The sequence below is a fragment of the Homo sapiens genome, chromosome 10 (genome assembly GCF_000001405.40).
Source record: "Homo sapiens chromosome 10, GRCh38.p14 Primary Assembly".
NCBI lineage: Eukaryota > Metazoa > Chordata > Mammalia > Primates > Hominidae > Homo > Homo sapiens.
In genome coordinates, this window is record NC_000010.11 from 12496139 (window position 1) to 12521763 (window position 25625).

General features: G+C 47.8%; 1 protein-coding gene across 7 annotated transcripts in view, besides 1 other annotated feature; it reads left to right on the forward strand.

Moving 5' to 3' along the window:
• CAMK1D (calcium/calmodulin dependent protein kinase ID) overlaps positions 1-25625 on the forward strand; it is a 485999-nt gene that overhangs the window by 146592 nt on the left and 313782 nt on the right. The window lies entirely within an intron of this gene.
• Positions 13313-13362: an enhancer, noted in NCBI's record as "active region_3045". NCBI's record gives its function as "activates an Ori minimal core promoter by ATAC-STARR-seq in GM12878 lymphoblastoid cells {active_cell/tissue: GM12878}" and the evidence as "EXISTENCE:reporter gene assay evidence [ECO:0000049][PMID:35858748]".

A 25625-nucleotide genomic window follows, 5' to 3' on the forward strand; every position in this document is an offset into this window, starting at 1 on the left:
AAATGTTCCTGGTTCTCTAAAGGATGTAGGCAAATGCATTCTTGGTAAATTACCTTGGTTGCCAATGTCTTTATGAAGTTGGTGTTAAGTTTTTAAACCTGAGACACTTAAACTTTAATGACTATATCAGTTAGGGTCAAGATTGCCTGCAAATCATAGAACTATGACTGCACATAACTGCGGTTAAACCAGGGTAGGGGCTGTTTCTCTCTAGGGTCGTTGTGGCTCTTCATGGCGTCTGGGACCCGGGCTGTTTCTGTCTTGTTGCTCTGTCTTGTGTGGCATGATTGCATGGTCCTAAATGGGGGCCTCCACATGTCAGACAGCAGAATGGAGGAGAGGGCACAGAAGAAGGGGCCCAGAGCTGACGTCAGTGAGGAGAGGCTTCATGGGCAGTAATGTCCAAGCAAAGGTGGAACTATGGCCTCCATTCTGAGGGAGGTGGGTCTAGTCCCAAACCAGAGACCTTATGCCCTAGAAGAGGGAATAGCTGGTGAAGAACAGCTTGGAGTCTCTGTGACAATACCAAATTTTCGTTAGAAGTAAAACAGAAACAATCCATTGCTAATAGCATGTATTTATTCATTTAAATTGTATTTTTATTTTAAGTTCTGAGGTCCATGTGCAGGATGTGCAGGTTTGTTACATAGGGAAACGTGTGCCATGGTGGTTTGCTGCACCTGTCAAACCCATCACCTAGGTATGAAGCCTGGCATGCATTAGCTATTTTCCCTAATGCTCTCCTTCCCCCCACAGCCACCTCCCAACAGGCACCAGTGTGTGGTGTTTTCCTCCCTGTGTCCGTGTGTTCGCATAGTTCAGCTCCCACTTATAAGTGAGAACATGCGGTGTTTGGTTTCCTGTTACTGCGTTAGTTTGCTGAAGATAATGGCTTCCAGCTTCATGCATGTCCCTGCAAAGGACATGATCTTGCTCCTTTTTATGGCTTCATCGTATTCCATGGTGTATATGTACCACATTTTCTTTATCCAGTCTATCATTGATGGGCATTTGGGTTGATTCCATGTCTTTCGTTAACAGCATTTAAAAGCAAGTTGAGCCAGGCGTGGTGGCTCATGCCTGTAATCTCAGCACTTTGGGAGGCCGAAGCCGGAGGATCACGAGATCAAGAAATTGAGACCTTCCTGGCCACCATGGTGAAATCCCGTCTCTACTAAAAATACAAAAATTAGCCTGGTGTGGTAGTGCGTGCCTGTAGTGCCAGCTATTCAGGAGGCTGAGGCAGGAGAATCACTTGAACCTGGGAGGAGGAAGTTGCAGTGAACCGAGATCACGCCACTGCACCTCAGCCTGGTGACGGAGCAAGACTCCATCTCAAAAAAAAAAAAAAAAAAAAAAGTTGTATTTCTTTTTATGGTTGTGATGGGCTTAAATTCTATTAGGTTTAAGATTTGGTGTGTGTTCCCTTATAGCAATACCTGACATAAACTTGTTTAAAATTATGAAATGCAACTACTCCAACTCTAGCATATTTGAATTTTATGTCTGTATCCCAAATGGCTGGGCTTGAAAAGTCCAATTTTACAAAAGCCTGATTCATGAAAATTGACTAAAGCCTTGGAAGCAGCAAGAAAGTGCAAATTAGGTGATTAGATTGGAAAGTCCAGAGGCTGAGGACAGTAGATGAAGGATGTTGCAGGAAGATATTTATTTGGGTGGGATAGAGAAATGTATTAGTTCATTTTCATACTGCTATGAAGAAATACCCGAGACTAGAGAATTTATAAGAGGCTTAATGGACTCACAGTTCCACATAGCTGGGGAGGCCTCACAGTCATGGCGGAAGGTGAATGGGGAGTGAAGGCACATCTTCCATGGTAGCAGGCAAGAGAACGTGTGCACGGAAACTGCCCTGTATAAAACCATCAGATCTCATGAAATTTATTCATTATCATGAGAACAGCATGGGAAAAACCCACCCTTATGATTCAATTACCTCCCATCGGGTCCCTCCCACAACACATGGGGATTATAGGAGCTATAATTCAAGATGAGATTTGGGTGGGGACACAGCCAAACCATATCAGGAAGGGCGGGAGAAAAGAGGGAAACAGATGAAGGAAGAATGTGAGGGTGATTAGAGGCAGTGGAGACTTAGTGTTGAGTGGACCTGGGGCTCCAAACTCTCCAAACCCTGGACCTGGGGCTCCAAACAGAGGGCCTGAGCCAGATGGAAAGAGCTCATTTGTTCTGTGACTGAGATCTTAGAGTGAGCATCTGGCACCAGGAGAACAAGGGAGAAGACTTCTGGGTTATCCAGTAGACAAGGCCTTAGGCCAGGAGTAGGTGGGTGTGGCACAGAGAGAGGTATTCAGGAACTCTCTGGCTGAGATATGGCTGAATCCCATATCCACTGATGTGTTTGATTTTCAGCCTGGATAAAGGCTGGATTCTAAAGAAAAGGAGGAACACTTCAGGAAGCGTTGAGTTAGTTCTCATCACTGGATGTCATCAGGGAGGGGCTAGGCCACAGCTGCTTGAAGAGTGGAGATGAAACTGAAAAGAAACTCTGGCTTCCAGAGGGAGTTGGGTTGTGGGGAGTGACGGGGAAGCAGACCTCCAAGGTGAGAGAGGATGGCAAAGTAGCCGATCTTCAGACCTTGGGGCCCCAAGACATCATCACAGTCATTGTTGCCATGAACTCCCTACTTCTTTACATTCAAACTTGTTGGGGGTTCAATTTAGTACTTTGCAGATGAAGAGGTAATGAAGAGAAGCAATAATAATATTGCCTTGCTTTGTCTATAGAGCTGTTTCTTCCATAGAATGTCATCTAATTAAGGATTTCTGTTCATTTACACAATAGAATTTAGGTAGCAGTTTTAGCAGTGGATAAAACAAGGCGTAGATTGCAAATGCCTTCCCCTGGGTCATACCTGAAATCTACTCTCTTGGCTTGTAAATTACAGCTTTTTTTTTTTTTTTTTGCATCGATATTGAACTTAGTGCTTTAAAATCATATATGCTGTTTGCTGATTAATGAGCTAGAAGCAAGAGGAATGGAAATGAGACCAGGAAAATAAAGGCTTCCTGGGCAGTTCTTTCCTATGTGGTTTTTTTCTTACCAATCTCAGTACTCAGAGGCTGAACTGATGAGGTCACTTAGTAACCTTAGTAAGATGCAAATGGACGGTCCTGGGTCTCATTTCATTGCCAGGAGCAGATCCCTCTTTTCTCATTCTGGTAAGAATCCTGCTTTGTCTCTGCTGCCCACAATCCATATCTGCATGCATATTTCATGATTTTCTTACCTTCCAGTTCCTTCTGAAAAAAAAATCAAATGAAAAAAGAAAGATGTGTCAGAACCGAAGGCAGAAATAAACACTTTGATGTGGTTGGCCCTGAGGCATTAGGATTGATTTCCCCCCAGATCCGAATCCCTTCCAAGGAGGCTCAGTGTCTGGGAGGTGGCACACACAGGATTTTATGATAGGATTTGGCTGGAAGCACACAAAGGAAGGCTATTTTTCTGCTCTTCTTCAACACAAGTGCTTGAGAGAGAGGGATTTTCACTTTAGAGCAGACCAGGCAGTGAAGAACAAGGTCATTGGTTGGTTGTCTGCCCTTAGCTGCTTTGAGGAAAGTCTTTCACAAGAGATTGGTGGGAGTTAGCAGCCCCGTTACATAACAGGGTGTCTCTGCCAAGCAGAGTTCTGGAACCTCACCATAGCTCTGGGGGAGACTGACACTGGCCATGGTCTATTCAAGGAGAGGGAATGACAGGAAGAGGAGCCGTCCACGGATCATTTAGGACCATGACAGCACCAGGATGCTCCAAGAAGGCATAGTCTTTGGGTCTGTGGAGTATAGAAGAAAGCTGTCTGGACCACATTTGGTGGCTCATGCCTGTAATCCCAGCACTTTGGGAGGCCGAGGTGGGCAGATCACTTGAGGTCAGGAGTTCGAGACCAGCCTGGTCAACATGCTGAAACCCTGTCTCTACTAAAAATACAAAAATTAGCTGGGCGTAGTGGAGGGTGCCTGTAATCCCAGCTACTTGGGAGGCTGAGGCAAGAGAATCGCTTGAACCTGGAAGGTGGAGGTTGCAGTGAGCTGAGATTGTGCCACTGTACTCCAGCCTGGGCAATAAGAGCAAGACTCTGTTTCAAAAACACAAAACAAAAACAAAAACAAAACCCACAAAAAACGCTGTCTGACTTCTTTCTTTGTCTCCTGGGTCAGAATTAGTCACTTTGGGGACCTGTCCAGGGCTTGGCTTACCTCTTCTTAGACCTCACTGAGCCCAGAGGTCAGTGAGACATAGCATTGCCCAGGGTTAATCTGCTCTGGTGGTGTCAGGGAGCCAGCACCAGGAACCTTTCCCTGCGGGCATGGAGGGGCCTTTGCTGCCATTGCCAGGGCTGGGTGTCATGCCATTCCAGAGATTGAGAATTCTACTGGAAAAGTAAGAAGTTGAGGTATACAGTAGAAAAGATCAGATTATGAAGCCTGACCCCACCCTTTGCCTTGTGACCTTGGACGAGTTGCTGAACCTTTCTGGGCTTCAGTTTAGATAAGATTATCCAGCTAAAGAGGCTTGGGCATTCTGCCAATTTGTCCTTGAATCAACCTCCTTTTTATTAGACATGAAGTGTGGATTCTTTGCAAGGGACTTAGCAGTGAAGTACACAGGTATGTTGTACACCTCTTACTTGTTGATTAAAAATGACATGATCAAATTCTCTTGTTAGCATGAAGAAGAGGAAACTGTGCTGTTATTAACTGCCTATTGTGTGAACACTTTCGCATAGATTGCTTCAGTGCAGCCTCACAATCACCTCCTGTGGTTGGTGTTATATTTCCTCTTACAGATGAGGAAAGTGAAGCTTCCAGAGGCAACGTGCCAAAGACCTCTGGGCTAATCATGGGTATATCTGGCACCCAGATCCCTGTCCACCGGACTCCAAAATCCATCCCCTTTCCCGTACTCCACCTCGCCCTCAACTCACTCCATTCTGCTCACAAAGCAATGATGGAAAACACAGGGAAAATGGAACTTGGTAGTCCCAGCCTAAGTGGGTTGTAGCAATTTCCTGTTTATTTTAGTTTTCTTTTTCTTTTTCCTATAAATAGTGCCCTGGGGGCAGAATTTACTTAGTCTTCACATTTTTATTGAGCCCTTGTATATTCAGAGCACTGTGCACTGGCTGAAACTCACTAAGAGCTGCAGAGATTGAGAAGTTCTGATGCTAGTTTATCATCTGGTGAGGGGCGAGGGGGACTTTAGGTGTGTGGAAGCCTCTGCTTACCTGGGGCGTGAGTGCGTGTGCTCAGCGCTGTTCTGCCGGATTGCCATGTCATGGGCCTCACCATGTGCTCATTCCTGTGTTCATTCCTTTCAGGTATTTACATAGTGTCTGTTGTATGCACGGCTCTGTGCTAGGGGCTCGGAGGAAATAAAAAGAAATGAAGAATGTGGACTCTGTTCACCAGGAATTCCTGGCTTATCTGCGGAGATACGCATATTCCAGCAGTTCTCGACTGAGAGTGATTTTTTTTCCCGCCAGGGGACATTTGGTGACATCTGGAAACATTTGGGGGTTGTGTGTGCCGCTTCTAGTGTCTGTGGGCGGAGATCGAGGATGCTGTTAAACATCCCTTAATGCACAGCACAGCCTCCCCACCCTAAAGTATTATACAGCCTGAGTGTCAGGGGTGCTTGGGTTAAGAACCCTGGTATGTCTCAAGGGTGTGGTCCCCAAAAGCCATTTGATGCTTTTGGAGTGGTGTGTGCAGTTGGTGAGCAGTGCTGCTGTGACCTCCATGGAGGGGAGCTGGCGGCAGAGTGGAGTGCTCAGAGCTGCAGGCCCTAGGGAGAGTAGGGGAAGCCTGGACTGTGCTGAGCTGGGATAGAACTGAGGCAGCTGCAGGGAGGGCAGGCAGCCACCAGGGCAGGCAGCCACCAGGGCAGGCACAGGCTCAGGGTCAGGAACGAGTGTGGAGCTGGTGGCACGGTGAGGAGGACCTGTCATAGGGCGGAGGCTCTGTGCCGGGAGCAGCAGGCAGTCTGGACCGAAGGAATGAGAGACATCGCAGACCGTGGGCTGAGTGATGCTGTGATGGATGCAGAGCTTTAGGAAGGTATTCAATGGTGCTGGGCAAGATGGGGCAGAGAAAGGCCAGTCCAACGGAAGGAGAACCCAGCCAGGGAATGGAAAATCAGGCGGTGATGTACCGTGCAAGCTGGAGGGAGCATTGCCAATCCTGGCCTGTTTCTCAGGTTACCAGTGAGAAAATCAGGTGTAGGGCGATGAGGCGTCTTGGCTTGTGGGCAGCGCTGGGTTCAAGGCAGGTCCTCGGCCGCAGGACCTGGCCTCTACTGACCAGCATCCCATGGGAAACCTCAGCCTGTCCTCTCAGCAGCCCCGCAAGGCAGACACCATCATTTACCTCCACCATACAGAGGAGGGGACACACACTGTCACACACACTTCACCTGCCCCAGGCCTTGTTCTGGAAGTAGCAGTGCCAGGCTTTAGCCCGGGCCCTCGGACACCAGGATGCTTGCTCTTTAGCCATGGCCACTCTCGTTCCAGGTATAAGGCTGGTCAGCCTGCCCAGGGCTGGCAGTGGGGGCGTGGAGAGAGGGTGAAGGCAGAGCGCTGGGAAGGAGGTGTGTGTAGGACCCGGTGCCTGGCTGGGACTTGAGTCCCATGGTGTGCCTGCGACCCTGGAAGGTGTGTTACTTGCCATGCTCATTTTCTCCTTGGAGCCCATCTTCACTGCAGGGTGCAGTTCACTGCCTTTGCCAGTCCAGTGTTGCCTTCGCAATGGTGGCGTCTCCACGTTCTCCCCATTGGCACAGGCTTCATCAGTTGTGCACTGTTGCCCCTTCAGGCTGTTCGCATGCACGCGTGTATATATGCATGTGTGTGTGTGTGCATGTGTGTATACTTGTGTATACGTGTATGTATATGTGCATACATGTGCTTATGTATGCAAGCATGTACCTACGTGTGTACACATATACATGTGCACACATAGGTGAATATATGCATGTGCATGTGTGTATATGTGTATATATGTACGTGTGGGTGCATATATGTATGTGGGTAGACGTATAAGTCTGTGTGTGTTGTGTGTGTGCACTTGTGCCGCTGGGATTTTGGGAGGAGCATTTGCTCCTCGCCCCGCCTGATGTGGCCAGGTGGCTGCGTGTAGTGTATTTAAATGCGTTCAACGACATGAGTGAACGTAAAACAACTCCTGGGTACCAGGTTTACAGTTGAGAAGCAGGTCCCCTCTTGGCGTGTGTCACAGCTGTCTGGCAGCCTGGGCTACTTTTAACAAGGGAGGAGAGAGCAGGTGAGGCGAAGAGGCCAGAAGAAGGGAGAGCAGAGAGGGGGGCCTGTGAGAGAGAAGGGAGTGGGCAAGAGCGGGCTCCCAGGGAGAGGGGCGGGACGTTTGTGAGTGGAGATCTTATCACAGAAAATTCAGGTTGGGCCAGACCTAGCCAGCTGACTCCACCCTTTATGAATGAACACATTTGATGCGAGGATTAACTGCAGGGATGACTGGCTTGGGGGTTTTTCTTTTGTGATTTCTAACAAAATGATTTTCCCCCTTTTCCATGATGATTGGGCCAACCTTTCAGGGTTAGGTCCATGGGCTCCTGCAGGATAGTGTATAGGATGGAAGATCAGGTTCGAGTATTTTCCCTTGGAGTCCTGCTTTGTGCCAATGTTAAAGTTACAGTGTTAAAAAGTTCGAGTTCTTAGGCAGGGAATATACCGGACTGAGGATAGTGGGTTTTCCTTAAGGAGACTTATTTCCTCTCTGAGGGCCTCAGCTGGATTTCATGTGGAAAACAGTTCCACAGGGCACCTGCTTTCCCGCATCCACTGAGGCATGGATTTCTCTGGTAGAGACCTTGAGCATATTAACCAAAGAGTTGGATGCTTGTATTAGTCAAGCTGCTCCAGTAAACATAAACGGAACCAATAAGATGGGTGTGTGTGTGTGTGTGTGTCTGTGTGTGTGTGTGTGTGTGTGATGTATGTAATATATTCTCAAAAAGTAGATCAGAGTCTTCTAAATGTCACAAATATGTTCCAAATACACATTTTACACACACACACACACACACACACATCTAGGAGCTGGAGACCCAGGAAAGCCAGCGGTATAATTCAGTCCGACAGTCCAAGTCCGGAGGCCGGAGAACTGGGGGGATTTGGAGGGAGGTGGTGGTCATGGTGTAAGTCCCAGAGTCCAAAGACCCAAGAATCAGGAGCACCAGTGTCCGAGGTCAGGCGGCGATGGGTAGCCCCGCTGAAGAAGAGAAAGTGAAGTCGCCCACCCTTCCTCTGCCTTTTCATTCCACCCTGGTCCTCAGTAGATTAGGTGATGCCTTTCCACATCGGTGAGGGTGAACCTTCTTGACTCACTAGCAATTCAAACGGTCATCTCTTCCAGAAACAGCCTCATAGACACACCTAGAAACGATGCTTTACCAGCTTTTTGGGAACCTCTTAACCCGGTTAGGTTGACATGAAATTGACCATCATGGTGTTCAACCTAGAAAGGCTGAATTTGAGATTCCCTGGGAACGTGTCCTGTCAAGACCCTCTTTGTACCTTTAGGCTACTTTCTCTTACTACCTCCCGGGACGGTGAGGCCACTTTCTCTTACTACCTCCCGGGACGGGGCTCCTCTCAGGTTTTCCTTTGAATTCTGCAGTGCACACAGCCTCAGGTTCCATGACCCCTTCCTCTGCTTTCTTGCCCCCTATGATGCTCTCCTGAGGTGTGGGCCCGGATCTCTTGCAGGCAGGGTCTGAAGTGGTGCTGCTTAGAAACTGGAAGAACATTGGTAGCAACAAAGCAACGCTTCGAAGCACAGGCTGCCACTGACTCTCGCTTCTAACTGACAGCAGGGCAGTCAGGTACCATCATCATTTTGTTTTAGTTCTTGGCATTTTCCTCCCTGTATCGCTGTTTATGTTGGAGGTGCTCTGTGAGCATTGTTAACCCCATCCTATCCTGATAGATGCAGAAGCCGTCCGTGTGAGCAGTCTAAGAGAAAAGAGGCGTGCGGTTGTAGAGGAGCAAAGTGAAACTTGGAGGCCACGTTGGCCATGTGTGTTAAGAACAGATGGCTCCTGGGAGTCTTCAAGAATTGCACTTGTTTGTAGGTAGAGGAGCTTGTTGACCTCTTTTCTCTCAAGGATGCCAAGGAAGTGAAAATTCCTCTGCAAAACTCAGTGTTGGATAGGAATATAGAGACTATTAGGCCTGCACTATAATTTTAAAGGCAGTAAAACGGGTGTAGAAAGCCTCTCAAAGGAAGATCAAAAGCCTCCTAATGTGACCAGTGTCAGTGCTGCTTCTCACTCAGAGCCCAGGCTCTCCTTTCTGGAGGGTTCTTTCCTGGGCTGTTGGTCCATCCGGCTCCTTGCTTGGTCTACACAATGAGCTTAGATTGTGCTCATCAAAAGCAGTGTCTCTCCTTTATTGCTTGCTTGTCTGGCATATTTTCACAACAAAGAATACATAATATTGAAAGCAAATGGTCCAGCACTCGAATCTGTTTTCTGAGAATTTAATTACGCTTCTCAGAGCAGTCAGATCTCTTCTTTGTGGCTTTATTGCTGTTTGGTCTTTATTAGGGCCAGGACTTGATGCTCTAGCGTGTACCAGATGCTAAAGAAGCCAAGGAGGGCTGATTTAATAAACCAATGATTTTCAGACAGCTGTCATCTTCCTCCTCCTCCTCCTCCTCCTCCCTTGTTCCAGTCCTCCGCACATCACATGTCAATGGAAATCTACCATTTAGAATTCATTCTTTTGAATGAGAGTCATAGATAAGACGGAAGGAGAATGTAGGTTGATTCCAGGCTCCACCATGTCCTAGATGTGTGAAGATGGCAAGTCCGTTAACTTCCTGAGCCTTTATTTTCCCGTCCATGTAATGGTGTATGATGCCTGTTCAGCTTGTTTCCTGAGGTTGCTGTGAGGATCAGAGAAGATAATGGATGAGGCTGGGCATAGTGGCTCATGCCTGTAATCCCAGCACTTTGGGAGGCTGAGGTGGGAGGATCACTTGAGGCCAGGAGTTCGAGACCAGCCTGGCCAACATGGCGAAACCCCCGTCTCTACTAAAAACACAAAAACTAGCCGAGTGGGGTGCCATGTGCCTGTAATTCCAGCTACTCAGGAGGCTGAGGCTGGAGAATTGCTTGAACCTGGGAGACGGAGGTTGCAGTGAGCTGAGATTGCCTCATTGCACTCCAGCCTGAGCAACACAGTGAGACTCTGTCTCAAAAAGAAAAGATAATGAATTAGACCATTGTAGGGAAATGTAAGTTTCTCTACACACCATAAAGGAATAAAGGGAAGATCTGGGCTCTCTCTTTCTCTCTTTCTTTTTTTTTTGAGACGGGGAGTCTCGTTCTGTCGCCCAGACTCTGAAGTGCAGTGGCACGATCTCAGCTCACTGCAGTCTCCGCCTCCCGGGTTCACGCCATTCTCCTGCCTCAGCCTCACGAGTAGCTGGGACTACAGGCGTCCGCCACCACGCCCGGCTAGTTTTTTGTATTTGTAGTAGAGACGGGGTTTCACCGTGCTACCCGGGATGGTCTCGGTCTCCTGACCTCGTGATCCGCCCGCCTCAGCCTCCCAAAGTGCTGGGATTACAGGCGTGAGCCACCGCGCCCGGCCTGGGCTCTTTCATGCCCACCTAGCCCTTGGTGCCCCCGAGCCCGAGGGTAGGACCTGCCAACCTCGGGTCACATCATGTCCTTAGTTCCTAGCGTGATGCTCCATGAATGTGTGTGGAATTAATGAAAAAGGAGCAAGGAGATGGACTCTTAATATTTCCCATATAAATATAGAACTGAGAACAGTTTTCAAATTAACTGCACCAATTAATAGAGGAAATGATGTATTGGGTTGTTCGTTGGAATGCTGAGTGGCTCATTAAAAAATGTAATGACAGGCAAGGATGAATTTCTGAAAAGTTCTGAGAAGTTTGCAGCTACTGTGTGAACACCACCTGGACTTTTCTTGCAGCCTTGTTTACCTGTGACTCTTTATTCCCAGGATCATGTGCAAAATGTATCTCACAAGCTAATACACGGAGTGGAGAAACACAAAGAGGCTAAAAGAGCTCTTGAAGTCTGGGACCTAGTGGCAGTAGGTTTCTTATATAAGCTTGGATGGTGCCTGCAGGCTATAGGTTGTTGCTTAGAGGATTCTGTCCTTAGAAACAGGGAACTGGCCAGCAGCAGGGAAGCACCCTTTTTGTTTTTAATTTCTGTTAATCAGATGGGGGAGTACGTTGTGTCTAAGGGGAATTTCACCTCCTGGTTTCTTCTGCTAGAATAATTTCCCTGTAATATCAGGAAATCCTATTTTTCCTTTTTCAGGAATGACAGAGGGCGAGTGGGTGATCTAGTAGATTGATTTAGGCCCAGCAACTGTGTGCCTCTGTGTAGGTTTTTGGCTGAGGGCCGCCCGGAAGAAAGGATGCTTGTTCACATTGCACAGAGGCACTGCGGATGGGCTTGTGGTGTCCTGAGGTTTGCGTTTCTTGAAAACCACCAGCCCGGTCCCTCCCCTGTTTCTCAGCTGGGCCCTTCCTGTGGTTCCCAATTCTTTTATTTCTCTCGTGTTAATTCCTTGCCGTCTGCCTTGCATAATGCATTTGTCTTTTTCTGTCTCCAGTGGCAGGGAATTTTGATCCTTGCTTCTTTCCTGTGTCTGTGGCTGCTTCTCAGGTTTGTATTCTAGAATTCACCCCCTCTTCTCTCATCCCTCTCTTCCCCAAGCCTCTACACACTTTCCAGGCCACATTGTTCCCAGATCTCTGAATGCCCTGGGAAGCTTGTGAAATGCAGAGTCCTGGGTCCTGTCCCTGGCGCGTTGATTTGACAGGCCTGGGGTAGGACTGAGATGCTGGTGTTTTTAACGAGCATCCCGAGACACTTGGAGAAACAGCTCTAGGAAGACGATTCCCAAATCCAGATGCTGCCTGTTCTCAGGGAGAAATCCTGCTTTCCAGCTCTGTGCTATGTATGTCCTTGGCACCTCAGCTGAATCTTTCTGGAAGTAAATGCATCGCTATTCATGAAGGCCAAAAGGTGGAAACAACCCAAATTTCCGTTGACGGATGAAAGAGCAAACAAAATGTGGTCTCTCCATGCAGTGGAATATTATGCAACCTTACAAAAAAAGGAAATTCTGACCCATGCTGCTGCATGGGTGAAACCTGAGAATGCGCTAAGCGAAACAGGCCAGACACAAAAGGACAAATGTCCTATGATTCCACTTACTCAGGTACCCAGAATAGACAACTTCACAGTAGGGACAATGGTGGTTACCAGGGACTGGGGGGAAGGGAAATGGGGACTTCTTGCTCAGTGGGCACAGTTCCCATTGGGAAGATGAAAAAATTCTGGAGGTGGACGGCGGTGATGGTTGGACAACAATGTGAATGTACCTAGTGCCACTGAACTCTACAGCTGAAAATGGTAAAAATGGTAAATTTTATGTGACATATATTTTATCACAGTTTTTTAAAAAAGCAAACACATGGGTCTCCTCCCTTTCTCCCTCCCCAACTAAACTCCCCATCCTGAGGCCTCTCTGCAGTTCACATAACCCTGATAAAGCCGAGGGAGAGGGCTTGGGGGACCCACTTGACTTATTTTTTGCACTTAAGCTGAAAGTCATGAAAATGCGGTGTCCTTCTTTCCCGGACTCTCTTTAAGAAGATTAAAGGAAACCACATTCATAAGCCACAAGGACACTCCTGGAAAATTCTTTGTCCTGCTCCCCAAATCTTTTCTGCTTCCGTTTGTCCTGTTCATTGATGGAACCCCGCTGGGAAGGACTGAGGACTGGGCTGGAGTTCTGCTGGTATAAATCACCTTGGAGAGGGGATGTGGGGACAGAGTCTTGACCATTCACAGCTGATTGCATTTTGTCTTGTGCAGAGAGAGCAGTAGGTGCCCAGAGAGAGAGGTCAGGGGGGAACCTTCCTCTGGATAATTGCACGACTTTCCCTTTAGCAGCCGCCAATGGGAAGGGGCCCCAGGCAGAGGCTGTCACCTGGCTTTGCTGAGGTCTGATCTCTACCCTGCTCCAGGCTTCTAATACAGCCATTCTGTGACATGGAACCCAGCTCTTGTTTGAAAAGCCACTAGAGACCAGGTTTGGCCATACCAGTGTTTCATCATTCCACGAGCTGGTCTGGAATGCCAGCTTCCTCTTAGCTGTGAATTTGCTTGTCTGGACACAGGTGGAGTGATGCCACTCTTTTCTGCCAGAACCTTGAGGTTTTAGAATGTGACTTCTAGGACTTCTAGGCTGGGTTCAGTGGCTCACGCCTGTAACCCAAGCACTTTGGGAGGCCAAGGCAGATGGATCACTTGAGCCCAGGAGTTCAAGACCAGCCTGGGAAACATGCTGAAACCCCATTTCTACAAAAACGAAACAAAATGAGTATCCAGGTGTGGTGGTGCATGTCTGTCATCTCAGCTACTCAGGAAGCTGAGGTGGGAGGATGAATTGAGCCTGGGAGGTTGAGGCTGCAGTGAGCCATAAGGGCACCACTGCACTCCAGTCTAGGTGACAGAAGGAGACTCTGTTTCAAAAAGAATGTGACTTCTAAGTGGTTCTTGTCTGAAACCAGGCTCTAGTAAAGTCCTGCCGTTCTACATAATACATGGTAGCAATTTCTCAGTTCACCCAGGACATCATTGGTGATTGTGACTCAAAAGTAGCCACATGGAACTGGGTGAATTACATGAAGGCCTGAGTTAAACAGCCTCCTAGGCTGGGCGCCTGTTTCCTATGTGGGCTGGGATCACTGAAAATAAGATTCTGAGGTGTTACCTGCTTTTATTACTGTAGGAAGGAAAGTCAGGCTTTCAGACAGAAATCATGTAGGCAGATAAGAACCAAACTGAGCCTTCAGTATCAATGAATGTGCCCTGTGGGCCCTTAGCTCAAGATATCCACTGTTCAGTTTAAGAGGGTTTGGGGTTGCTCCCGTCTGTAATCCCAGCACTTTGGGAGGCTAAGGCAGGCGGATCATTTGAGACCAGGAGTTCAAGACCAGCCTGGCCAACATAGCAAAAACTCATCTCCACTAAAAAATACAAAAATTAGCTGGGCGTGGTGGCACATACCTGTAATCCGAGTTACTTGGGAGGCCGTGGCAGGAGAATTGCTTGAACCCAGGAGGCGGAGGTTGCAGTGAGCTGAGATTGTGCCACTGCACTCCAGCCTGGGTGACAGAGCAAGACTCCGTCTAAAAAAAAATAATAATAAAAGAGTGTAGCCACGTGGGCATTTTGAAGCCAGTTCCGAAGTTGTCTAAAGATCTTGTTTAATCATTTCCTTTTACCTACCACACAAACACTCCTTCGAACAAGCACATCTGAGAACTGAATGTATTTTCACTACTGTGGCTGCAAGCAAGTCAGGCAGAATCAGACTCTTTGCCAAGGGAACTTGTGGTCTTGCTGCCAGTGCCACCTCCGGGACCCCCCTACGAATTCAGTGCTTCCCAAGAGTCACCAATGACAGGAGATTTCATTCTGGCCACTCCTGAATGAATCACAGGAGCGGCTTCTGCAGGAAGTGGTGGGGACACAAATGTACAAGCGTGGCATTTTCTGGATTCCTGTGAATTCATTCTGTAGGGAAGACAGTGCCAATGCATGCAAATGAATGCAGATCGACAAGCCTGGAAAAGCCTTAATTCAGCAGAGCACACACAATTGATTTCTCATTTCTTCAAGGCGGTCCCTGCTCTGCTAAGAAACGGAGACTGGAGGAGGGAAAGGACTCGGCTCTGGGAGGCTGTGCAAAAGACTCAGATTCTCAAGCAGGGTGGTTTGACCTCCACTTTTCATTCTTGCAGCACTTACACGGGATGCGGAATTTTAGTTTGCATTCAGTGGCCTGCTTTGTTGTAAATATGCTCACATTTTTCTTCATTGGTATCTGCCTAGCTCCCAATTTAGTATGCTCTGGGTGACGGGGAATCTGGGTTTGGGCAATGGAACGTCTGTCTTCCTCTGCCTTTATGGATTACCATGCAGATGTGGGAGTCAGCTCAGTTACTGCTGACCTGGTAGGGCTGGAGGCCAGAGGTTTTCAACTGTGGCAGCAAATTGGAATCTCCTGGGGAACTTTAAAAATTAATATCCATGGCCAGGCACAGTAGCTTATGCCTGGAATCCCAGCACTTTGGGAGGCTGAGGCTGGACAGTCTCTTGAGCCCAGCAATTTGAGACCAGCCTGGGCAACACAGAGAGACCCTGTCTCTACAAAAAAAAATAATAAATAAACAAATTGGTCAGGTGTGGTGGTGCATGCTTGTGGCCCCAGCTACCTGGGAGGCTAAGGCAGAAGGATCGCTTGAGCCCAGGATGTTGAGGCTGTAGTGAGTGGTGATCGCTCCACCACACTCTAGCCTGGGCAGCAGAGTGAGACCCTGTCTCAAAAAACGAACAAACAAACAAAAAAACCACATATCTGGGTCCTCCTCCAATCCAGTTGGATCAGAATCTTTGGGTGATGCCCAGACATTGTTTATTTGTTTGCTTTAAATCAGTCCCTTGGGTGATTCAAATGTGCTGCAGTATGCAGAACCCATGGGCCGCCCAGAAGGATCGGCTCTCCTGGATAGACACGAGACTTTCTTTCCACTACAGTGATCATGACGATGAATGTATAACCTCTCGCCAAGCCAGCGGCATCTCCAGCAGTGGGGAGTATGTACCCGTCCTGTGAGCTTGGAGCTCCCTGGCTCCATGCCGTGAAGAAGCTGAACGAGTTCACCCACAGTGTGTTTGGACTCTCAGTTTCTTCATCTGTGCAATGGGTGTAAAGATACCTGTCTGGTGTTCCCCATAGAGTTGTTGGAAAGGTGCAAATGAAACCAGATGTGTTTGGAAAAGCAGCTGGAAATTGTAACTGGGCATTATGCTAAAGGGACCTCTGCTATACCCTAGCATATTAGAGGTGATAAAAAGCCCAGTGCCTGGTGACTTTAGCATGAGAGCACAAATAAGTATCAAAACGTGTCAGCTCATCAAAACATTTATAAAACCCCTTCCAAAAGAGGTACTGGAATAAACGGAGCTGTGCTTACACAGGACGTGGACTTTTAGGAATTCTGATTCGTTGGGGAGAAGTTAAAGCAGTAGAAAACACTACCTTACGTTGTCACTGGTTTCAGACAAACCCGGAGTCTCCATCACCAGCAAAAACCTGCTTTACTGTTTATTATTATTATTTTTTTGAGATGGAGCCCTGCTCTGTCGCCCAGGCTGGAATGCAGTGATGCAATCTCGGCTCACTGCAACCTTCGCCTCCCGGGTTCAAGCGATTCTTCTGCCTCAGCAGCTGCCCGTTGGGAGACTCGGAGCTCATTACTGAAGCATTACTAAATGTGGCATGTCTTTATTTTCATAGATAAGGCTTCACTTTGGCTTCCAGGAATTAGACTCCGTAGTGGCTACTGGGGCATCGTTTTCTGATTTCCAGGTGCCCCTTTGTAGCTGTCATCAAGCCTGGGAGTGTGGCACAGTGGATGGTCAATCTTTGTGTTTTGTTCAGCTGAGAAGAGAGATTGTGCTCATAAAAGCTCACTAAAGCTGGTACGAGTGTTTGCTTATTTCCGAGGGAAAGAAGGTTCCTGGTCCAGGTGATTTCAGGGTGTTCTGAGACTGCAACAGGGAAAGCAAGCCGACCACATGGGGCTAATATTGACAGTTCCCATAATAGATGGACCGGAGCGAGCATACTTTGTTTGACTTTGCCTCAGTTGTTTTCTTTTTCCGAGCCGAATTAACAGCACACACCTGGAGGAACACAGTGGGGATGGTGTTGTCTTTCCCTCACGAGCAGGAGAGGTTTGGATTGACTGCCCAGGCCAGCTCAGAAGAGGAAATTCTGAAAGGGGATCCGTCTTTGTCATATTCCCTGAATCAAGTGTTTCTGGCTGCAGCTGCCTAGCCAGGTGTTTTGCTGGCTTTATTGCCTGGCCTTTTATTTTTCTGCCTCTTGACCAACAAGAGGCCTTCCTGAATGTGCTCCACAAGATGTGTCAGGATGGGGAGTGAGGACACAGCCACCCTGGACGCGGGCAGCCCTGGGGAAGGCATGATGACAGGCTTTTGAGTTCTTTGGACAGGCCATAAATGAATCGTGTGGGTCTTTGGGGAGCAAAGCAACACTGTTGTAAATCTGTGGGCTTTGTCAGCCTTTCAGTGCTGAACCTGTAGTTGGTCAAGTCATACAATGTGCAGTGGGCCTATAAAGTAAGGCCTGTTATGAATATGTGAGCTTCTTGAGGGCAGAGCCTTTGACTTTATAAAAAGTACTTAATTAGGCCGGGCGTGGTGATTCATGCCTGTAATCCCAGCACTTTGGAGGCCGAGGCAGTCAGATTGCTTGAGTCCAGGAGTTCGAGACCAGCCTGGGCAACATGGTGAAACTACGTCTCTACAAAAATCCAAAAAAAGAAAAATTAAAAAATGAGCCAGGTGTGGTGGCATGCATCTGTAGCCCCAGCTACTCGGGAGGCTGAGGTGGGAGGATCACTTGAGCCCGGGAGGTGGAGGCTTCAGTGGGCCGTGATCATGCCACTATACTCCATTCTGGGTGACAGAGGGAGCCCCTGTCTAAAACAAAAGCGAAATCAAAAACGATGTGATCAGTGTTTGCTGAACTGATGGTGCATTATCCAGTGTTTAGAGTGAATTCAAAACTCAAAAGTAGGGAAAGTGCAAGTGATGGATGTGGCTGTATCTCTACATTCATCTGTGTTCACTTCAAACATTTATGCCTCTCTGTTCGCTTGACTGCAGCGGTGGGCTGTGCTGGATACCACTAGGATTATGAATGATGCCATCTGCACACAGGCATTTGTCACTGCCCCCCTAGAGAGAACAGAGTTTCCCTGACTTGCTATGATGAGGTAATGGCATAATGGATCTGAAAGTGCTTTTCAGCTGGAGTGCGGCGTGGCAGTGGTGAGATTTCATTAATGTGAATGCTCATAGCAACCAGCTGTTTTATCTCGCTGCTTCCACTATGAGGCAAGAGGGTGATGGAACACGTTATAGATTGCTAGCACACTGCTAACCCTGCACACACATATATTGCTTATAATATCACACTACTTATTATGCAAATTCGGTAGCAATGTGGGTCTCCTTTGGGCCACATTTGGAAGTGTGTGCATCAAGTAAATAAAAATTTCTAAGGTAGCACAGAGCACTTACCACCACAATGATGAAAAGAATAATGTCCCTTCAGTTCTAGCCTAGATGCTACACACTGCCCTGTGGGTTCACACTAGTGAATTTAATTAGCAAGATGACATGGTGAGATAGAGATAGGAGTGTTATTTCCTTTTTACAGATAAGGCCTAAAGTCAAGAAGTATGTGGGGCAGGCAGGATTTCAGCTCGTAGTTTGGCCTTGCCTCAAAGTCTGTATTATTGATAATTATGTTTTAGTAACAACTTAGTTCCATGGGTTCCCTGATGTAGGTTTTACAGAGTACGAAGCTAGCATAGGCTTCAGTCAAAGCTGTCTTGCAGCTTGAAAGAAGAAATGATATTATTCGCTTTCCCCACTCAATAAGAAGTGTCTAATACAATGTGTGGTACATGGCTAGTGCCGTGTATTTACTGGTATACGTTTATAGCCTTTATTTTATTTTATTGTGTTTTATTTTATTTTATTTTTGAGACCAAGTCTCACTCTGTCGCCCAGGCTGGAACGCAGTGGTATAATCTTGGCTCACTGCAGCCTCTGCCTCCTGGGTTCAAGTGATTCTCCTGCCTCAGCCTCCTGACTAGCTGGGACTACAGGTGTGCACCACCACACCTGGCTAATTTTTTTTTTTTATTTTTTATTTTTAGTAGAGACGGGGTTTCGCCATGTTGGCCAGGCTGGTCTCGAACTCCTGACCTCAGGTGATCCACCCCCCTTGGCCTCCCAAAGTGCTGGGATTACAGCATGAGCCACCACACCTGGCCTAGCCTTTCTTTTTAAAAAAAGTTTTTAAATTTATATGCAGTAAAAATGACTCTTACGGTGTGCAGTCTGAATTCTGACACAGGCATAGAATCATATTACCACCACCACAATCGGATACAGAACATTCCCATAACTTCGCCAGATTCCCCTGTGTTACTCCTTTGCAGTCCAACTATCTGTCCAGCCCGAAGCCTCGGCAGCCTTTCTCTATAGTTCGCTTTGCCTATAGTTTTCCTTTTCTTTTTTTTTTTTTTTCTTTTTTTTTTTCATTATACTTTAAGTTTTAGGGTACACGTGCACATTGTGCAGGTTAGTTACATATGTATACATGTGCCATGCTGGTGCGCTGCACCCACTAACTCGTCATCTAGCATTAGGTATATCTCCCAATGCTATCCCTCCCCCCTCCCCCGACCCCACCACAGTCCCCAGAGTGTGATATTCCCCTTCCTCTTTTTTTTTTTTGAGACAGAGTCTCGCTCTTTTTCTCAGGCCGGAGTGCAGTGGCGCGATCTTGGCTCACTGCAAGCTTCACCTCCCGGGTTCACGCCATTCTCCTGCCTCAGCCTCTCCAGTAGCTGGGACTATAAGCGCCTGCCACAGCACCCGGCTAATTTTTTTTGTATTTTTAGTAGAGATGGGATTTCACCATGTTAGCCAGGATGGTCTCGCTCTCCTGACCTTGTGATCCCCCTGCCTCGGCCTCCCAAAGCGTTGGGATTACAGGCGTGAGCCACCGTGCAGGGCCATAGTTTTCCTTTTCTAGAATGTAATACTCTTAACAGTATACAGCTTCTTTCTCTTAGCATAATTTCTTTGGAGATTCATCCATGTCGTTGCATGTATCAACAGTCTGTTCCTTTTCGTTGCTGAATGGTAAGCCATTGTATGGTGGTGAAGGGTTTGTTTCACCATTCTCAGTTGAAGGGCTTTGAGGTTCTTTCCAGTTTGTTTGTTTGTTTTTTGAGACAGAATCTTGCTCTGTCATCCAGGCTGGAGTGCAGTGGCGTCATCTTGATTTACTGCAAGCTCTGCCTCCTGGGTTCAAGCAATTCTCTGCCTCAGCCTCCTGAGTAGCTGGGATTACAGTTGTGCAGCACCACGCCTGGCTAATTTTTGTATTTTTAGTAGAGACGGGGTTTCACCATCCTGGCCAGGCTGGTCTTGAACCCCTGACCTCGTGATCTACCCACCTCAGCCTCCCAAAGTGCTGGGATTACAGGCGTGAGCCACCGCGCCCAGCCTCCAGTTTTAATGATTTTGAATATAGCTGTTACAAGCATTTGCCTATAGGTTTCTATGTGAACATATGTTTTCATTTATCTTGGGTAAATAAATAGCTAGGAGTGGGATTGCTGGGTCATATGTAAGTATTTATTGAACCTTGTCAGAAATTGCTAAACTGTTTTCCAAAGCATCTATGCCATTTTGTATTTGCACCAGCAGCGTATCATGATGCTGTTGCTCTATATTCTTGTTAGCTCTTGTTATTGTCAGTTTTTAAAACATTCTAGTCAAATTAATAGTCATGTAGTGATATCTCACTATGGTATGAATTTTCAATTCCCTAATAACTTATGAGTTTGAGCATCTTTTCATCTGCCTGTTTGCCATCTGTATATCTTTAATGGAGTGTTTGTTCAAATCATTTACCCGTGTTTAAAAACCACGTTGTTTTTCTTGTGGAATTTTGAGAGTTCTTTATAGATGTTGCCTTTCCATATAAATGTTAAGACTATCTTGTCAGTTTCTACAGCAGACTTGCTGGGATTTGAATTGGGATTGCATCGAATCTGTACATCAACTTTGGAAAAACTAATATCTTTGTAGTATTGACCTTCCAGTTCATAGACATGATCTGTCCATTTATTTTGGTTTTCTTTGATTTCTTTAATCAATGTTTTATAGTTTTCAGCATTTTATCCTGTATGTACGTTGTTATAGTAATGTTTACACCCAAGCATTTTATTTTTGCAGCTGTTGTGAATAGTATTATTTTTAAAATTTTTATTTCCAATTGTTCATTGCTCGTATATAGAAACATAGTTGGTTTTTATGTGTATGCTGTGACCTTGCCAAACTCACTTAATAGTTCTAGATGCTTTTTTTGGGTCAGTTCTTTGAGATTTTTAAAAACATAAACAATCATGTTATCTGCAAACAGAGATATATTTTATCCTTTTCAATCTGTATGCCTTGCTTTATTGTCCTCACTAGGACTTTCAGTGTGATGCTGAATAGGACATAGAAATGATGAGAGAGCAGACATCCTTCTTTGCCTTATTCTTGACCTGAACAGAAACCATTCAGGCTTTTACCCTAAAGTATGATGTTAGCTGTAGGAATTTTGTAGATCCTCTTTATCTAGTTAAGGAAGTTTGCTTTCTATTTCTAGTTTGCTGAAGTTGTTTTAAGTCATATGTGGATATTGAATATTATGAAATACTTTTTATGTGTCTGTTGAGATGTCATATGGCTTTTCTTAGTCTGTTAAAATGGTAGATTATATCGGTTGATTTTTGAATGTTGAACCCGCTTTGTATTCTTGAAATGCATATCACGTAGTTGTGGTGTATTTTTTTTTATTATATATTGCTGGATCCCATTTGGTAACAGTTTGTTAAGAAGTTTTGTGTCTGTGCTCATGGAGAATATTGGTACTATTTTATATTCCTACCAGCAGTGTATAACTTTTAATGTCTTTGTCTGATTTTGATATCAAAGGAATCCTTGACTTACAAAATGAGTTGCAAAGTATTTCCTTCTCTTCTGTTTTCTAGAAGAAATGGTGTAGAATTGGTATTATTTTTTACTTAAATTCTTGGTGCAATTCATCAGTGAAATTACTTGGACCTTCAGTTTTCTTTTTTGGAAGGACTTTAACTACAAACTCAATTTCTTTACTAGATACAGTAGTATATCCAGATTGCCTGTTTTTTCTCAAGTGGTAGTTTTTATCTACTAAAGAACTGGTCTATTTCATCTAAGCTACGCAAAGCTAAGCATTAGCAAACTGAAGCCCACAGGCCAGCCACCTCTTTTTATGAATAAAGTTTTATTGGAACACAGCCATGCCTGTTCATTTGCTTATTGTCCATGGCTACCTTTGCACTATAATGGCAGAGTGGAATAGTTATGACAGAGACCATATGACCAACAAATTTTAAATATTTGCTGCTTGCCCATTACAAAAATATTTGCTCACATCTGATTGGAGTTGTCTCATACTTGGGCTTAGGGTTGTTCATAATGTTCTTTTATTAGCCCTTTAATGTCTATAGGGTCTGTAGTGATATGTCTTTATTCATTCTTTTTTTATTTTTTATTTTTTATTTTTTTTTTTTATTGATCATTCTTGGGTGTTTCTCGCAGAGGGGGATTTGGCAGGGTCACAGGACAATAGTGGAGGGAAGGTCAGCAGATAAACAAGTGAACAAAGGTCTCTGGTTTTCCTAGGCAGAGGACCCTGCGGCCTTCCGCAGTGTTTGTGTCCCTGGGTACTTAAGATTAGGGAGTGGTGATGACTCTTAACGAGCATGCTGCCTTCAAGCATCTGTTTAACAAAGCACATCTTGCACCGCCCTTAATCCATTTAACCCTGAGTGGACACAGCACATGTTTCAGAGAGCACAGGGTTGGGGTTAAGGTCACAGATCAACAGGATCCCAAGGCAGAAGAATTTTTCTTAGTACAGAACAAAATGAAAAGTCTCCCATATCTACTTCTTTCTACACAGACCCGGCAACCATCCGATTTCTCAATTTTTTCCCCACCCTTCCCGCCTTTCTATTCCACAAAACCGCCATTGTCATCATGGCCCATCCCCAATGAGCCGCTGGGCACACCTCCCAGACGGGGTGGTGGCCGGGCAGAGGGGCTCCTCACTTCCCAGTAGGGGTGGCCGGGCAGAAGCGCCCCTCACCTCCTGGATAGGGCGGCTGGCCGGGCGGGGGGCTGACCCCCCCACCACCCTCCCGGACAGGGCGGCTGGCCAGACAGAGGGGTCCTCACTTCCCAGTAGGGGCGGCCGGGCAGAGGCGCCCCTCACCTCCTGGATAGGGCGGCTGGCCGGGCGGGGGGCTGACCCCCCCACCTCCCTCCCGGACGGGGCGACTGGCCGGGCAGAGGGGTCCTCACTTCCCAGTAGGGGCGGCCGGGCAGAGGCGCCCCTCACCTCCCGGACGGGGGGCTGACCCCCCCACCTCCCTCCCGGACGGGGCGGCTGGCCGACCCCCCCCCCCCCGCCTCCCTCCCGGACGGGGCGGCTGGCCGGGCAGGGGGCTGACCTCCCCACCTCCCTCCCGGATGGGGTGGCTGGCCAGGCGGGGGGCTGACCCCCCCACCTCCCTCCCGGACGGGGCGGCTGGCCGGGCAGAGGCGCTCCTCACTTCCCAGTAGGGGCGGCCGGGCAGAGGCGCCCCTCACCTCCCGGACAGGGCGGCTGGCCGGGCGGGGGGCTGATCCCCCCACCTCCCTTCCGGACGGGGCGGCTGGCCGGGCGGGGGGCTGACCCCCCTCCTCCCTCCCGGACGGGGCGGCTGGCCGGGCAGAGGGATCCTCACTTCCCAGTAGGGGCGGCCGGGCAGAGGCGCCCCTCACCTCCCGGACGGGGCGGCTGGCCAGGCGGGGGGCTGATCCCCCCACCTCCCTCCCGGACGGGGCGGCTGGCCGGGCAGGGGGCTGACCCCCCCTCCCCCCTCCCGGACGGGGCGGCTGGCCGGGCGGGGGGCTGACCCCCCACCTCCCTCCCGGACTGGGCGGCTGGCCGGGTGGGGGGCTGACCCCCCCACCTCCCTCCTGGACGGGGCAACTGGCCGGGCAGAGGGGCTCCTCACTTCCCAGTAGGGGCGGCCGGGCAGAGGAGCCCCTCACCTCCCGGACGGGGCGGCTGGCCGGGTGGGGGGCTGACCCCCCCCCACCTCCCTCCCGGACGGGGTGGCTGCCGGGCGGAGAGGCTCCTCACTTCCCAGATGGGGTGGCTGCCGGACGGAGGGGCTCCCCACTTCTCAGACGGGGCGGTTGCCAGGCAGAGGGTTTCCTCACTTCTCAGACGGGGTGGCCGGGCAGAGACGCTCCTCACCTCCCAGACAGGGTTGCGGCCCAGCAGAGGCGCTCCTCACATCCTAGACAGGGCGGCGGGGCAGAGGCGCTCCCCACTCAGACGATGGGCGGGTCAGGCAGAGATGCTCCTCACTTCCTAGTTGGGATGGCGGCCGGGCAGAGACGCTCCTCACTTCTTAGATGGGATGGCGGCTGGGCAGAGACGCTCCTCACTTTCCAGACTGGGCAGCCAGGCAGAGGGGCTCCTCACCTCCCAGACGATGGGCGGCCAGGCAGAGACGCTCCTCACTTCCCAGACGGGGTGGCGGCCGGGCAGAGGCTGCAATCTCGGCTCTTTGGGAGGCCAAGGCAGGCGGCTGGGAGGTGTAGGTTGTAGTGAGCTGAGATCACGCCACTGCACTCCAGCCTGGGCACCATTGAGCACTGAGTGAACGAGACTCCGTCTGCAATCCCGGCACCTCGGGAGGCCGAGGCTGGCGGATCACTCGCGGTTAGGAGCTGGAGACCAGCCCGGCCAACACAGCAAAACCCAGTCTCCACCAAAAAAAAACGAAAACCAGTCAGGCGTGGCAGCGCGCGCCTGCAATCGCAGGCACTCGGCAGGCTGAGGCAGGAGAATCAGGCAGGGAGGTTGCAGTGAGCCGAGATGGCAGCAGTACCGTCCAGCTTTGGCTCGGCATCAGAGGGAGACCGTGGAAGGAGACCGTGGGGAGAGGGAGAGGGAGGGGGAGGGGGAGGGGGAGGGGGAGAGCTTTATTCATTCTTAAGATTGGTAATTTGTGTTCTCTTTTTAAAATCAGCTTGGCTAGAGGTTTATCAGTTTTCTATATCTTTTAAAAGAGACAGCTTATAGTTTGATTGATTTGCTTTATTGTTTTTCTGTTTTCAATTTCATTGATTCCTGTTCTTATCCTTATATGTTCTTTCCTTCTGCCAAATTTGGGTTAAATTTGCTCTTCTTTTTCTAGTTTCTTGAAGTGAAATGTTATATGTTTGATTTTAGATCTTTCTTATTTCTCATATAAGCACTTAATGTCATACATTTCTCTCCAAGCTATATTCCACAAATTTTTGGTACTTTGTATTTTTATTTCAGTTAATTCAAGATGTTTTCTAACTTGCCTGTCTTTGACTTTTGGACTATTTAGAAGTGAGTTGTTTGCTTTCCACATATTTGAGAATAATCTACATAATCTGATATTGATTTCTGGCTTAAGTAAATTACAGTCAGATAACATACTTTGTGATTTTTTTTAATTTAAAGTTTGTTTTATGATAAAGTTTGATTTATATATGTAGTATATCTTGTTGAATGTTCCATGTGTGCTTAAAAAGACTTTGTGTTCTGCCATTAGTGAGTAGAGTGTAAATTAGGTAAAAACATTTAATAGTATCATGCAGGACTTCTGTATCCCCGCCAATTTTCTGTCTGCTTGTTCTATTTGTTACCAAGAAAGGGGTGTTGAAATAACCATCCAAGTATAATGTTGGATTTGTCCTATTTTTCTTTCAGTTATTGCCTCACATATTTTGAAGCCCT